Source organism: Homo sapiens, chromosome 2 (assembly GCF_000001405.40).
Source record: "Homo sapiens chromosome 2, GRCh38.p14 Primary Assembly".
Lineage (NCBI taxonomy): Eukaryota > Metazoa > Chordata > Mammalia > Primates > Hominidae > Homo > Homo sapiens.
Window position 1 is genome coordinate 44698267 of NC_000002.12, and position 14619 is coordinate 44712885.

The window sequence follows — 14619 nt, forward strand, 5'->3', positions numbered from 1 at the left end:
TTGCCCTGGGCAGTTACCATGCCACACTCCATCTTTATGAATATACCTATTCTGGATATTTCATATAAATAAAAACATACAACATGTGGTCCTTTGTAACTGGTTTCTTTCACTCAGTACAGGCATACCTTGGAGATATTGAGGGTTTGGTTCCAGACCACTGCAATTAAGTGAATATCACAATAAAGTAAGTCACACAAATTCTTTGCTTTCCTGGTGCATATAAAAGTTTGCACTATACTGTAGCTTAAGTGTGCAATAGCATTATGTCTAAAAAGATGCACATACCTTACTAAAAATACTTTATTGCTAAAAAATACTAATGATTATCTGAGCTTTCTGTGAGTTGTCATCTTTTTGCTGGCAGAGGGTCTTGCCTTGATGATGGCTGCTAACTGATGGTTAGCAGGGTGATGGTTGCTGAAAGTTAGGGTGGCTGTGGCAATTTCTTAAAATAAGACAATGCAGTTTGCCACATTGGTTGACTCTTCCTTTCAGGAAAGATTTCGCTGTAGCATGCGATGCTATTTGACAGCATTTTACCCACAGTAGAACTTCTTTCGAAATTGGAGTCAATCCTCTCAAACCCTGCCACTGCTTTATCAACTCAGTTTATGTAATATTCTAAATCCTTTGTTGTAATTTCGACAGTGTTCACAGCATCTTCACCAGGAATTGATTCCATCTTAAGAAACTACCTTCTTTACCCGTGCGTAAGAAGGAACTCCTCATCCTTTCAGGTTTGATCATGAGATTGCAGCAATTCAGTCACGTCTTCAGGCTCCATTTCTCATTCTAGTTCTCTTGCTATTTCCACCTCTCAAAATCATCCACGAATGTTGAAATCAATTCTTCCAACTCCTGTTAACACTGATATTTTGACCTCCTCCCATGACTCACAAATGTTCTTAATGGCATCTAGAATAGTGAGTCCTTTCCAGAAGATTTTCAACTGACTTTGCTCAGATGCATCAGAAGAATCACTGTATTTGGCAGCTATATCCTTATGAAATGTATTTCTGAAATAATAAGATTTGAAAGTCAAAATGACTCCTTGATCCATGGACTACAGAATGGATGCTGTGTTAGCAGGCATGGAAACAACATTAATCTCCTTGCATATCTCCATCAGTGCCCTTTGGTGACCAGGTGCATTGTCAATGAGCAGTATATAATATTTTGAAGGGAAGTGCTTTTTTCGGAGCAGTAGGTCTTAGCAGTGAGCTTAAAATATTCAGTAAACCATGCTATAAACAGATGTACTATCATCCAGGCTTTACTGTTCCATTTATAGAGCATAAGCAGAGTAGATTTTGCATAATTCCTTTTCTCTTATTTTTTTTTTAAGAGACAGGGTTTCACTATGTTGTCCAGGGTGGAGTGCAGTGGCTATTCACATATTCAATCCTAGCCCACTACAGCCTCCAGCTCCTGGGCTTACTCAAGCAATCCTCCTTCCTCGCCCTCCTGAGTAGCCCGATAGGCACCTGCCACTGAGCCAGGCTAGACTTAGCATAATTCTTAAAGGCGCTATGATTTTTAGAATGGTGCAGAGCATTGGCATCAACTTAGTCACCAGCCGCACTAGCCCCTAACAAGAGACTCAGCCTGTCCTTTGGATCTTTGAAGCCAGGCAGTGAATTCTCTCTAGCTACCAAAGTCCTAGATGGCATCTGCTTCCAATGGAAGGCTTCCAATGTTTGTCTGCATTGAAAATCTGTTGGTTAGTGTAGTCATCTTCATCAGTGATCTTAGCTACATCTTCTGGATAACTTGCTACAGCTTCTACATCAGCACTTACTGCTTTGCCTTGCACTTTTGTGTTACAGAAATGGCTTCTTTATTTAAACATCTTGAACTAACCTCCACTAGCTTCAAACTTTTCTTCTGCAGATTCCTCACCTTCAGCCTTCATAGAATTGAAGAGTTAGGGCCTTGCTCTGGATTGGGCTTTGGCTTAAGAGAACGTTGTGGCTGGTTTGATCTATCCAGACCACTAAAACTTTCTCCATATCAGCAATAAGGCTGTTTTGTCTTCTTATCATTCGTGTGTTCACTGGAGTAACACTTTTAAGTTCCTTCAAGAACTTTTCTTTTACATTCACAACTTGTCTGTTTAGTGCAAGAGGCCTAGCTTTCAGCCTATCTCAGCTTTCAACATGCCTTCTCCATAAGTGGAATCATTTCTAGCTTTTGATTTAAAGTGAGAGACATGCAACTATTCCTTTCACTTGAACACTTAGAGACCATTTGTTAAGTTTATTAATTAGCCTAATAATAGGGAGGCCTGGGGAGAGGGAGAGAGATGGGGGAATGCCGACTGGTGGAGAAGTCAGAACACACACAAGATTTATTGATTAAGTTTGCTAGCTATCTTATATGGACGCAATTCATGCCGCCCCAAAACAATTACCATAGTAACATCAAAGGTCATTGATCACAGATCACCATATCAGATATAATAATAATGAAAAATTTTGAAATATTGTGAGAATGACCAAAATCTGTCACAGAGACACTAGTTGAGCACATGCTGTTGGAAAAATGGCACCAATGGACTTGCTCGGTGCAGGGTTGCCACAAACCTTCAATTTGTAAAACTGTAGATATGCAGCATCTACAAAGCACAATAAAGAAAGCTGCAATAAAATGGAGTATTGCCTGTATAACGTTTTCAAGTCCCATCTATGTTGTAGCATGTATCAGTTCTTCTTTTATTGTCAAATAATAATCCATTGTATGGACGTACCACATTTTATTTATCCGTTAGTCAGTTGATGGACATTGGGGTTGTTTCCACTTTTGGGCTACTAAGAACAATGCTGCTATGAGCATTCGTGTACAAGTTTTTGTTGGACATATTTTGATTTATCTTGGGTAGCAGTGGAATTGCTGGGTCATATTATAATCTACATTTAACCTTTTAAGGAACTGCTACACAATTTTCCAAAGTGGCTACATGATTTTACATTCCCACCAGCAGTGCATCAGGGTTCCAATTTCTCCACATCCTCACCAGCCCAACATTCGTTATAACCTGACTATTTGATTGTAGCCATCCTAGTGGGTGTGAAGTGGTATCTCATTTAGGTTTTGATTTTCACTGAGATAACTTTTAAAAACTTAGATTAGCAAAAATTAGTTATGTTGAAAAAATCCTATCTGGGCAAGGCTTTGAGGAAACAAACACTCTGATTAGGAGTGTAACTTGGTGCACATTTTATGGAGGTCAGTTTGATATATTTAAATGCAAAATATATGTAACCTCTGACCAGATATCCCATTTCCTAGTATTTGACCTAAGGAGAAAACCATAGGTTGGGAAAAGATGGGTTGTCATATTGTACTACTGTTGATGTTAATGGCAAAAACCACAATTACTTTTGCATCAACACAATAATCTCATCATATCAACAACTTTGAAACTAACTTAAATGTCTGTCAAGAGGAAACTGGTTAAATGAATTCTGATTCACACATAGAATGTCTAAGCAATCATTATAAATAATGATGCAGGTAAAGTACATTTTTATTTTCTAGTAAAGCTATCTACCACATATTGAATGAGGGAAAATCAGGTTATTGAATATCTTCATGAAAAGATCCCATTGGTGTAAAATATCTGTTTGCCTAGAAAGATCTTTTGAGATGACGTCCAAAATGTTAACAGTGATTATATCCTAGTGGTCACATTTTACGTGATTTTTTTTTTTACTTTGTTCTTTGTATGTAATTTTGTTAAAAATCAGCCTCTATAATTTTTTGAGACAATTATAAAACTATTACAAAGTACTGCATTTTAGAAGTCGCATTTTTGTACTTAATCAAGGCTTAAATTTTAGTTAGATACTCTTTGTCTATCATTTTTTTAAAACCTCAAGCTAAAGGCATAAAGAAATTCATTATAGTGGTGATTATGTTCACTTGGTGTAGAGCATTGTCTTATGCTCTTCCTTCAGAGACTTTTATTTATACTTTGGTCTTAATAGAGTTATTTTTATGTGGAGATATGACCGGTATTAGGATTTGCAGTAACAGGTCAAAATGGTTTTCCATTTTTCTGGTTATTGGGATACGAATTTTGGATTCACATATTCTCTCTTCCACTCTTCCATCCCTCTTTGCTGGAGAATAACATTAACAATGCTTTCTTTTTCTTTGATCTTATTATGTGTTAGGAACCATTCTAAACATAGGCATGTATTTTACTCATCTCTCAGGCCAGTCCTGTGAGGTTGACAATACTGCAATGATATTTTACAAATGAGGAGCATGAGGGATAGGCAGGTTAAGTAACCTGTCCAAGGTCACTCCACAGGGGAATGGCAGAGCTGGCACTGGAGCCCAATAAGTCTGGTTCCAAAATATCTGTGATCTTAACTGCCACATTCCACTGCCTCTCTTACTTTCCTCCTAAATATGACTCCAAACACTTCTTGCTGGTTTTCCTTGTTTCTCCCTCAAGCTGTCATTCCTACCAGAAATGCCAGAGAGGCTGAGGTAGTGTGTACACCTGACTGGGCTTCCCTGCAACAAATGCTCTATGGAGACACCTCTTTGCTGTTTATATATTTACCCCCTGAATCTCTTAGGAGTTTACTTAACATTTCTTTAACACCCTCTTCTCTGAAATGTTTGGATTTCTTAGTCCTCAAAGTTGGAGGTTCATCTAGGGGAAAAAAATTAAGCCTTTTGTAGATGTTTCAACCTTGCATTAAGACCATCAGCAGAGTGCTTGGTGTTGAGTCAGAGAACATTTGCCACCCGTTCCCAGGACTGCATGGTGCTCTCAGCCTTAGGAAGTGCAAGATGCCTGGTGCTCTGACTGATCTTTGAGTTTGATTAATTGGGGGAAAACATAATTTTTATAAGGTTATAGTTTATTCTAATTATAAGGGTAGTATATGCTTATTGTAAAAATTTTGGAAAATACAAAAAAGCATAAAGAAAAAAATTAAAAACACTTATAATCCTACCATCCTGTGATAACAACTAGAAACTACAATTTCCAAGCATGTTTGTCTTCTCTTTAAGCAATTCATATCCATTCATGAAGACTAAGTATTTGAAATCAGTGATTTATGGATGACAATTTTAGAAAATGTCCATCCATGCAATTTAGCAGGTAGAATTATTGTTAAATTTAAAGATGTACCAAAGTTGGTGAAATTAAAATTTCTTAATCTTACACAGCAGTTTGATTTTATTTAACTGAAGAAAGACATAATTGTGGCCAGGCACAGTAGCTCACACTTGTAATCCCAGCACTTTGGGAGGCCGAGGCAGGCAGATCACGAGGTCAGGAGTTCGAGACCAGCTTGACCAACATGGTGAAACCCAGTCTCTACTGAAAATACAAAAATTAGCTGGGCGTGGTGGTGTGCACCTGTAATCTCAGCTACTCAGGAGGCTGAGGCAGGAGAATCACTTGAATCCAGGAGGCAGACTTTACAGTGAGCTGAGATCTCGCCACTGCACTCCAGCCTGGCGACAGAGCAAGACTCTAAAAAAAAAAAAAAAAAAAAAAAGACAGAATTGTGCATGTTTAAAAATATTAGCATGGAATCAAACAAAAAAGTGTAGTGACGTCAGTGGTTTTGTTTGCTCCTGTGTGTGATCGTCCCATTTATTTTTGCCTAATATGGGCTGCATATATAAGCAAGTCTTCAACTGATACTAATTAATTTTATGTGCACAAGATGAAGATCTATGTGAAGTACCATCAAAATTTAACTTGATATTTGTGATTTTGGTTGTTACTGTTTTGGCTATCTTGTGATCAAAATTTAGTATAATTTATTTAGGATATTTTTCTATTATCCTTGGGAAAGAGTTATAAATCTCACCACTATAAAAATAACAACAATAAAAGACACCCGTGACATGACATATTATAAGTAATAACAATGTTGTTTGATTGAAGTTGAAATAGCTTGTACTGAACATTATTTTTAAAAGCCGTTTCTTAAAAGAATGACTTCTATAATCAAAAGGTTTATCCTCTTGTGTTTTCTAGGCATCTGGCCATCTGAAGAGGTTTTGGCTTACTACTGCCTCAAGCACAATAATATATTCAGGTACAGAGCTGCACTTAAGATATTTTTTAGCCCATCACGGATATTGAATCAACATATTAAAAATTGCCATGATTATATTCTTCAAATTAAATTGTTAGAAAAAAATATAAGAAAAGAAAAACAGGAAGAAAAGGAAAACAGAAAGAGGGGAAAAAGTTCACAGTGAACACATGTTGCTTCTCAAGTGAAATCTGAATTGCCTTGGGTACTAATATTGCACAGCAAGGTTTTTGCTATATGTCAAAGGCTTTTGATTTCCACTCAAGGCATTTTATTTCACTTTGATTTGGGGGAAACAAAAGTGAAGCTCCAATCAATCCTTACTGATTGTGAAGGTCAAAAAAAAAAAAAAAAAAACCAATAAAGACATTCTTTAAACTTCTGCTGGGGAAGTCACTACAGAATGTCTGATAGATAAATACCTCACAGCTATTATTTAATGATGCCATCCCACCCCTGGTTTTAAAGGTAGTTTTATATATCTAACAATATGTATTTGTGAACTATAAATTACCATTACGGATTCATGCTACGGAAATAAGTGTTTTCAACTGTTAGTGTGCATTACAGATCGAACCCATGGATGGAATTTAGGAAAAAAAAAAAAAACTTTATTTGAAAATTCTAAAGATGTTTGGTAGACCCAGAAAATATAGGTTTTTCATTTTAATTCTCATTTTATAAAAGTCATTCAATATATACTTCCTGAATAGCTCATTATGATAGCAGATAAGCCGCTAGTGATCATAGCGTGTGTTTTAACCGTATGTACTTACAAGATTGGGTCAATAATATGTATTTTTTTAAGCTCTATGGGTCCATATTTACCAACCAGTCTACAATTGCTTTAAACAACCAAACACTCATTAAGTGTGTTTTGAAATATTAATGTCCTTGCTTGGCTTCTTCTCCTCCCTTTCCCCCTCTTCCCACCTCTCCCTCTCTTTTAATTTTGCTTTTTTTCTCCTCTTGAGGTAATAAACTTCCCAAACTGGGAAGAGGAAACAATCCTAAGAGTCTAAGCATATAAATAAGAACAGGGCAATTTTGAATGTGGGCTGCAGAGCTGCCCTGGAAGTCTGGCATTTGTTCATCTCGCTGTGCTTAAGCTTGACTGGAGCTCCAATCAGCGAGCAGTGGGCCAGGGCGAGAATGTCACACGTTAAGGGCTGATATTTAGGCACAAAGGGGAAGGTAAGTGCAGAGTGCCACCCTAGACTGTCAGCTTTAACTCTGAGCCGCTTTACTTTTGAGCTGTGAAGTCAGAGCCCAGTCATTACTTTAGCCTGGGTTTGCTGGCTTAACCATATTATGTCCCTGCATTGTTTATTCACTGTGTTGTGTTGGGGTCAATTGTGATTTAAGTGTTAATTGCTAAATGCTCTTTGTGTAATTGTTCTTTATGGGGACTGTTCAGCTTTCCAAAATGTTTCAGTTTGTTTAAGAATTTTTTTTTAAAATTCAGGATTGCATCTATTTATTTTGTGTGTGTTGTTTGTATGTAACTATAATATAGGTATATACACACTCATATATATTCTTCATTTACTTGTCTAACTGTTTTTGAAGGAATGAATGTGGATTAACAGTGTTATCCTTTCCTAACACTTCTCTTTCGCTACTCTAGCTAGTTTAGTTCTAAAAGACAGCGCCATTGACAAGGGAAAAAAAGGGAACCTTCTCAGATTTTTCAGCTCAGCGGTGGTAATGTTGCAGTGAACACTAATGAGGGAACCCCCACTGATTTGCCTGCTTTGTGACTTTTCTATTTCATAATTATTTTTAAAACGCAAAACGACATGAGGTAGCCTAGTCATGTCTCTACAACTTCCTGGTAGCGCCGTTCTTACTGCAGATGGCAATTTGTTCTTGTAACATATATCTCTCTCTGACCATTTTCATCTAATTTGTATGGGTTCTACCATTTCTTTTCTCTCTTTCAGGGCCCTTGCTGTGTGTGAGCTAGGGGGTGGCATGACATGCTTGGCTGGGCTCATGGTAGGTCTTTTCTCCATTCCAATCCCATTCAGAGGGAGGAACAAAAGGAAAAATGTTCCAGGGCCTCCAACTGCTGGGTCAGAGAACCGTCAACAGCATCAGCTGCGGTCAAGCTGCCGGGTCTTGAGAGACCTTCTAGATTGACTTACTTTCGGATCATATTGATTTTATGGTTGCCTCGATGAGCAGAAACATTTTACCTCAGTGTAGTCAATATTGCTTGTTGTGACATTCCAGGCCTCGCACAGTCTTTCTTTGCCATAGCGAAAGCATTTTTTTTTTTTTTTTCAGATTATAGTCCCATTTGCTAAGATACAGGAATAGCCCGGCGAATCACAGTTGGAGCACCATGATATAGCTGCTAATGTTTTGCCTGCATTATTACACCAACAAACATGATCCAGAGCGCTCAGTAATTAGATTCTTTTGAATTAGATTGGCCATTCAGGAACGTCGTTCCCCATTCTCTGGGTTCTGAGTCATGTATTCAGGAGATATTATGTAGCAGCACAGTGCATTAGACAAGTTTTTATGTCTCTACAAATAAAAGCATATTGTTACACTGATTGGCATTTGACAAACCTGTCGCTCTTATACAATGTGTCGAGGTTACAGCCCAATGTGCGAGCATGTCAAAGCTCACAAAAAAATTACCCTCACAAAGCCATCTGCCTGCAATGCAAAGTTATATGAAGGGCATCAGGCAGTCAGACAGAAGCAAGCTGAAAGGCAGAGTGACAGCCTTGTATGATGGCTCTACTAGATAAACAGAAGCCCACAAATGAAAGCCTCTCAGAATACCATCATCCGCTGTCACAATGCAATTACCGAACAGAATGATAGCAAGATAGAGGCTCCCGCAAATGGAATGATAAAAGTATTGACTGATTTGATTGAATGATTAAAATAATGCAGACATAAAATGAAAAAAGATTGAAGATTGTTACAGAGAAATAGGTGAGGAAGCATGATACTGAAGGCTTGTCACTCCTGTCTTCACTTCCACACAGACAAGCATATTTGCTCATTGTTTGCTGTGCTCCCTTTTTTTTTTCAGGTTGCTATTTCTGCAGATGTCAAAGAAGTTCTGTTAACTGATGGGAATGAAAAGGCCATCAGAAGTATCCTTATTCAGATAGAAAACGGGTTTGTTGTGCTCATTCCTTTTTCCTGGCTGAGTAACAATTGATATAAAGAAAGACAGCATGGGGTATTAAAAGAGAGTTTCCCCCCTACATACATGATAAGTAATTAAGAAAAAGTAGAAATATATGAATTCCTTGCATACAACTCCGTAGGTTTTTTTCTTTCCATAGATTTTTATAGACATCTCTCATGAAAGGAGCCTATTTTTGTGGACCTCCCGAGGCAATAAGAAAATTTGTTTCATAATAATTTTCAAGCATTCTTGTTCTTTTATTTCCATTGGAATTTGCCAGTGTAAAACAAATTATTTGGTATTTATTGTATTTGGATATTGCTGGCAAATATTAACTTCCAGCTTCATGTTTGTTATTACATTTATACACTTGATATTGTATGTACTGTATAATATTGTGCCTGGTCTAATTGCTGAGGGTACCTATATCCCCCACTGGAACAGCTGTCAGTTCTTCATTATTTCCTTTTATTTAGGATTTTATTTAGGATTATACAAGCTATCTCTATTTTTCTGCTATGCTATTGCAGTTCAAACTCCATTAGATTATGCTTTACTAATATGTACACAGAGTTCATGAAAATTGAACTGTACTTTAACTAAGAAAGCAAGCATAAATGTAGCTACTTTAGCAGTCGAGCTGATTTGTTCAGGGGCAGTTAACAGCTGTTAGAAACTGAGAGGAAAAGTGGCAGATATGTTTGCTTTGGATTTTTTTTTTTTTTTTTTTTTTTTTGGTGTGCCTTACATTTACATTATGAGGGAGACAATCTACTTATTTGAATTTTAAGCTCCTAAACTGCCAAAGCAGTTTTGATTTCTGTGGCATCTTACATACAATCTATTTCTGATTTTCTTTTTCGACTTCTGCCATATGATTTTTTCAAAATATGCAGCAGCTTCATCAAGCTGCTCAAACAGGAGAAAGGAGGAACGAGAAGCACAGTAGCTAATATTGTTCAGTAACACTTGTATGCTCTACAGAGCCCCACCCAGCTAATTGCCTGACAGACTTAAAAAAAATTCAGGAAGGAAAAACAGCCAATCACAATCTTGGCCTTTCACACAAGGGAAGGAGATCACAAAAGGTGCTTCCTTTTTTTAAATGCAGGATTTTAATCACGTTCTTGAGACTGTCTCAAGTTTTTCAAAATATTCCTGAAGATGAGCAGATGTTTTTTCATTCACTCTGCTTTATTCTGAGTTATTTCGTGCATGTATCCATGTATCATTTCACTGTGCTCCTCCTCCTTATGTCAGGGAATACAGAGCAAGAGGAAGCTCAGGTATGCCAGCTCAGCCCCAGAGAATTTTTAGAGGGTGGGGGGAGCAGGATTATTGGACAAGAGAAGATTATTTTAGCCACAGAAACTTTCAGCTTGGGCCCGGTAACCTAAGGTTTTTTTCAAGTCAGCAGGTGTCTTATTTAATAGCGTCAGAAACCAATTAGAACTTTTATCAAACTATGGGAAACATCTGTAGTCAGTATGTAAGTCTAATTGTTCTAAAATTATTATTGAGCTAAACTACAGAGCTTCCAAAGAAGGGAAGCAATGCTAATGTCATTAATTAACACACCTTTGCTTTAAACAACAAAGATGCCATGCCAGCTTTTGAAATCAGAGAGGAAATCTCAGATTCTGTATTCATTCTGCCGGCCTTTCAAAGAAATGATTGGTACAGCCCCCTCCCAAGAAAATGGATTTTTAACATTTGGTCCTCAGAAGCTCAGCCCTGAGAGTGCTTTATTGTGCTGGGTTTTACAATGGGTTTAATATAGCGGGGTGCCAAAGGGCAGGAGGGGAAGAACTTTACAAAGTAGATAAAGTAGGTCTTTTCAGGATGCAGACCAAAACTGGTAGTGTGTTTTATTTCATCTCTTAGGACTTTCCTGATGGAGTTCCGTTTTTACCATGCAGTTGTTCTGTGTTTGTATGCCTTTTTCTGTTGTAACCAGATCTAATTTTTTTTAATTAAGAGAAAAAGCATGCATAAAGCCTTAAAATTGGCAATGTGTTTTTCCTGCTTTTAATACTAATGTTATTCTTGATTTGCTAACAGAGCTTACAATTGGCATTCGTTGTCATCTGTTTTACTGACTGAGGTTAATATGAATGATTTTTTTTTCTATTTGCATGCCCACTTTCTGTAAGAATAACTAATTCACTGAATCACATACTATTGATGCATATAGATTGAAACAAACTTATTTAAAAATTACTGTTTACATCTTTCCTTTAAAATTTTAGGAAGTCTAAATTATATAGCAGTTGTAGGATATTATTCAAAAATTACTTTCTAAGAAGTAAAAGTGGATGTCAACAAAAAAAGGGGGAGAAACATTGCCAGAAGCCAGAAAATCTGTTAGTAAAGCTGCTAATTATTCTTAATGGGCAAGATGAGCACATTAAGAAACAAATGAATACATCAGTGAAATGTAATTGAAAATTGGCCTGGCAATGGCATATCGCATCTGAGTATTGGCCTGTATATTATTCTTATCATTTTAAAAATTATTTTTTTTGTTCTTGGCTTCTGAATTTAATGAATCCAACTGAATCTTCTTAGTCTCTTAAGCTTCTAAGATTCTGATTTTTACCTTTTTTTAAAAAAAAAAACAGCATTTCCTGATATTTCCTTTTAATTTTATATTATTTCTATTTGTTTTAGTATGTGAGGCAATGAATGGATTGGTTCTGAATCTTTATATCACAGAAGCATGTCAACCAGTTTTGAGTTTATTTATTATCTCCCTAAAATGTATCAGATGGATTGCCTATGTCTTCTTGAGTTTTCCAACTTGACTCTGAAAAGCTAGATGTTGATCTGAGATTTATTAAACAGAGATGTCTGGAAAGATATTAAGACTTGAGGTAAAAATTTTTAAGTCACAAATATTTTCTTAGATTCATGGGTAGTTTTCCCTAAAGTCTCCTTGATCCTTAAACTGCATTGCTGGGTCTACGAACTCAAAGCCCCCACACCTGAGAGCTGCTCTTCCCTACAGATGCCATTTTATCTGTACCCCAAGAGAACAAAGGATAAATTAGAAATGGGATCATTTGGTTTGTCCAGTTCTCAAATTTATTCTAAAATAGTGTGAAACATGTTCCTTTTCTTTTTTTTTTGGCAATGCCCCTTTAGTGTCAAGAAAGAAATCTTCAACTGCCCACATATAATAATTACTCCATAAGGTTTGTAACTTGTGATAACAATGACCTAGGAATAGGAGAGAGACATGGTATACTGAGTTATTATTGATGCTAAGCCTCTTCTAAATTATAATGAATAAAAGTAGAACTCCTGAAGGTGAGCAACCCTCTCTGGCTACAATCACTAATGTGCCCAGCACAAGCACCCTGCCTTAGTAAACATCTAGCAGTTCTATGCAGAAAATTCCAATGTTTGGTGACCCATTTCTCTGTAAGCATCTTATCCCCAAAGTATGCACAGTGTGGATCATGATCTTGAACTTAGGATTCTCCAAAAATGGGTAAATCCCCTGTGCTTTTTAAAGGAGACACCCCTGGTTTAACATTATTTTTATTTAATACAATCCCTGACTTGAGTAACTAATAAGTGAAGCTTCGTGTGGGCTGTGCAGCCTGTACCATAGATGGTTAATAACACGGAAATCCCGGGCCATCTTCCTGTGTCCAGGCTTCTTCTTCCAATGCCGGCTGTACTTCCATCTACTGATGAGTCATAAGTAAACTATATGTGCCTCAGATTGGGTAGCAGCACAACAAATATGTATTTTTTGGAATTAAATTAAAATTAATTCAACCAATATTAATGGCATGTCATTACAGGTGCTAAAGATACAATAGTGAACAAGATAGGTCTAGTACCTATCCTTGTGGGGCACAGATTTTGCCTTGGCTAGAATACATTTATATACATGAAGGGCAGAAGTTCTTTGATAACTTTGGTTATTTAAATTCTACAGTATAAATGTTCACATAATTAATTCTAACTTTTTTTCTTCTCCTTTTTGTGGAGAATGAGGTCTTGCTGTGTTGCCCAGGCAGTCTTGAACTTCTGGGCTCAAGCTATCCTCCTGCCTCCACCTCCCTAAGTGTTGGGATTACAGGCGTGAGCCACTGTGCCCGGTTCAGGTAATTAATTCTAAGCAGCAGGAAAAGAAAATAAAGTGTAACTGCCAAACCTCATGTTAGTTACTTTACCCACCTCTTCACCCTACCAAAGCTTTTGCCTGAATTATACACTAAGATAATGAATTGACGTGAATTGGGCACCTACTGTGTGCCAGGCCCATCACACGTGATACTCCATTAAGCCTAACAAATAGGTATCATTACTTCTGTTTTAGAGATGGAGCTCAGAGAGATTAATTTATCCCAGGACACGCAGCCCCCAAATATTAGAACCAGCACTAGAAGCCAGGTTCATTTGACTTCAAAGCTTATGTTTTTTCGACTTAAACCATTCTGGGTCACCAAAAACTAAAATGATTTGGTGAACGTCATCTTGCATTTCCTTACATGCTCTGGAAATAAAGGCCTCTCATCCACGAACATAACAATTGGCATTGCTAACAGAGTTTATAGTACCTCTATGGTATCTTCTCAATTCATATGAGTAATAAGCACATTTAAGAATATTTTGCAGCCTTAAATTAGCAAATATTGCCACATTAAGCATTAAAAAAAAAACTTGAGAGATCAAAATGAATAGGGTTTATATTATAATCTCATAGTTTCCTACCCTCATTTTTGGTATTCCAGCGAAAATAAAGATAACATAAACCAAGAAAGTGGTGCTTTGTGAATCACAGTGTTATTATTTTTGAAATATCTTCTTGCTTAAACAACATGCCAACTCTCAAAATATATATATAACTACTGATAAATAATTGCTAATTGCAGGAGGAGGCTGATATTTTTAACAATATGATGCATACATATAACATGTATATAATTTGTTTAAATTACTATTATATAAAAATATTTTTTAAGAATAAAAATCAACTGAAACAAAATTGAAATGGAGCCCTACCTCTGAACGGGGCTTTATTTGAGAAGAAAACCTAGAGTTAGAATTCCGGTTTCTTTTTAGCCACAAACATATATCCTGTAGCTCTGGAAGTCCAGTTGCCTAGACAAGGGGATTGGAGGCAATTACTCTGTATTCATTTAATCAGAAATCACATTAAGGCTTTCTTTGCACCCAGTCCCTCCCACTGAAGTCCTCCAGAAGGTGGGTGCGGTTCAGAGAACACGATTTGGCCCGTTGTGTTGAACACTATCCTGGACATATCGACTCAATGTGATTGGATTTCCTTTATTACACTGAGGTGACACAGAAGAATGATAAAATCTATTATTGGACAACACAGTGCCGTCCAGAAGAACCATCAAAATC

The 14619-nt window shown here is 37.0% G+C and overlaps 1 protein-coding gene across 11 annotated transcripts in view; it reads left to right on the forward strand.

Annotated features, from left to right (window-relative positions):
• The window catches only part of CAMKMT (calmodulin-lysine N-methyltransferase), a 410646-nt gene that overhangs the window by 336320 nt on the left and 59707 nt on the right, over positions 1 to 14619 (forward strand). For 7 of the 11 annotated variants that reach the window (XR_939723.2, XR_007081736.1, XR_939722.3 and 4 more), the window contains 3 exons: positions 6017 to 6077; positions 8021 to 8075; positions 9133 to 9196. Coding sequence is in view for 8 of the 11 variants with exons in the window: in NM_024766.5 (NP_079042.1) it covers positions 6017 to 6077; positions 8021 to 8075; positions 9133 to 9196 (180 nt within the window). In the remaining 3 variants the exon portion in view is untranslated. Of the gene's footprint in view, positions 1 to 169; positions 188 to 6016; positions 6078 to 7152; positions 7272 to 8020; positions 8076 to 9132; positions 9197 to 14619 lie in introns of those variants that run through there. The other 4 variants (XM_047445880.1, XM_047445881.1, XM_047445879.1 and 1 more) reach the window with 4 other exon arrangements.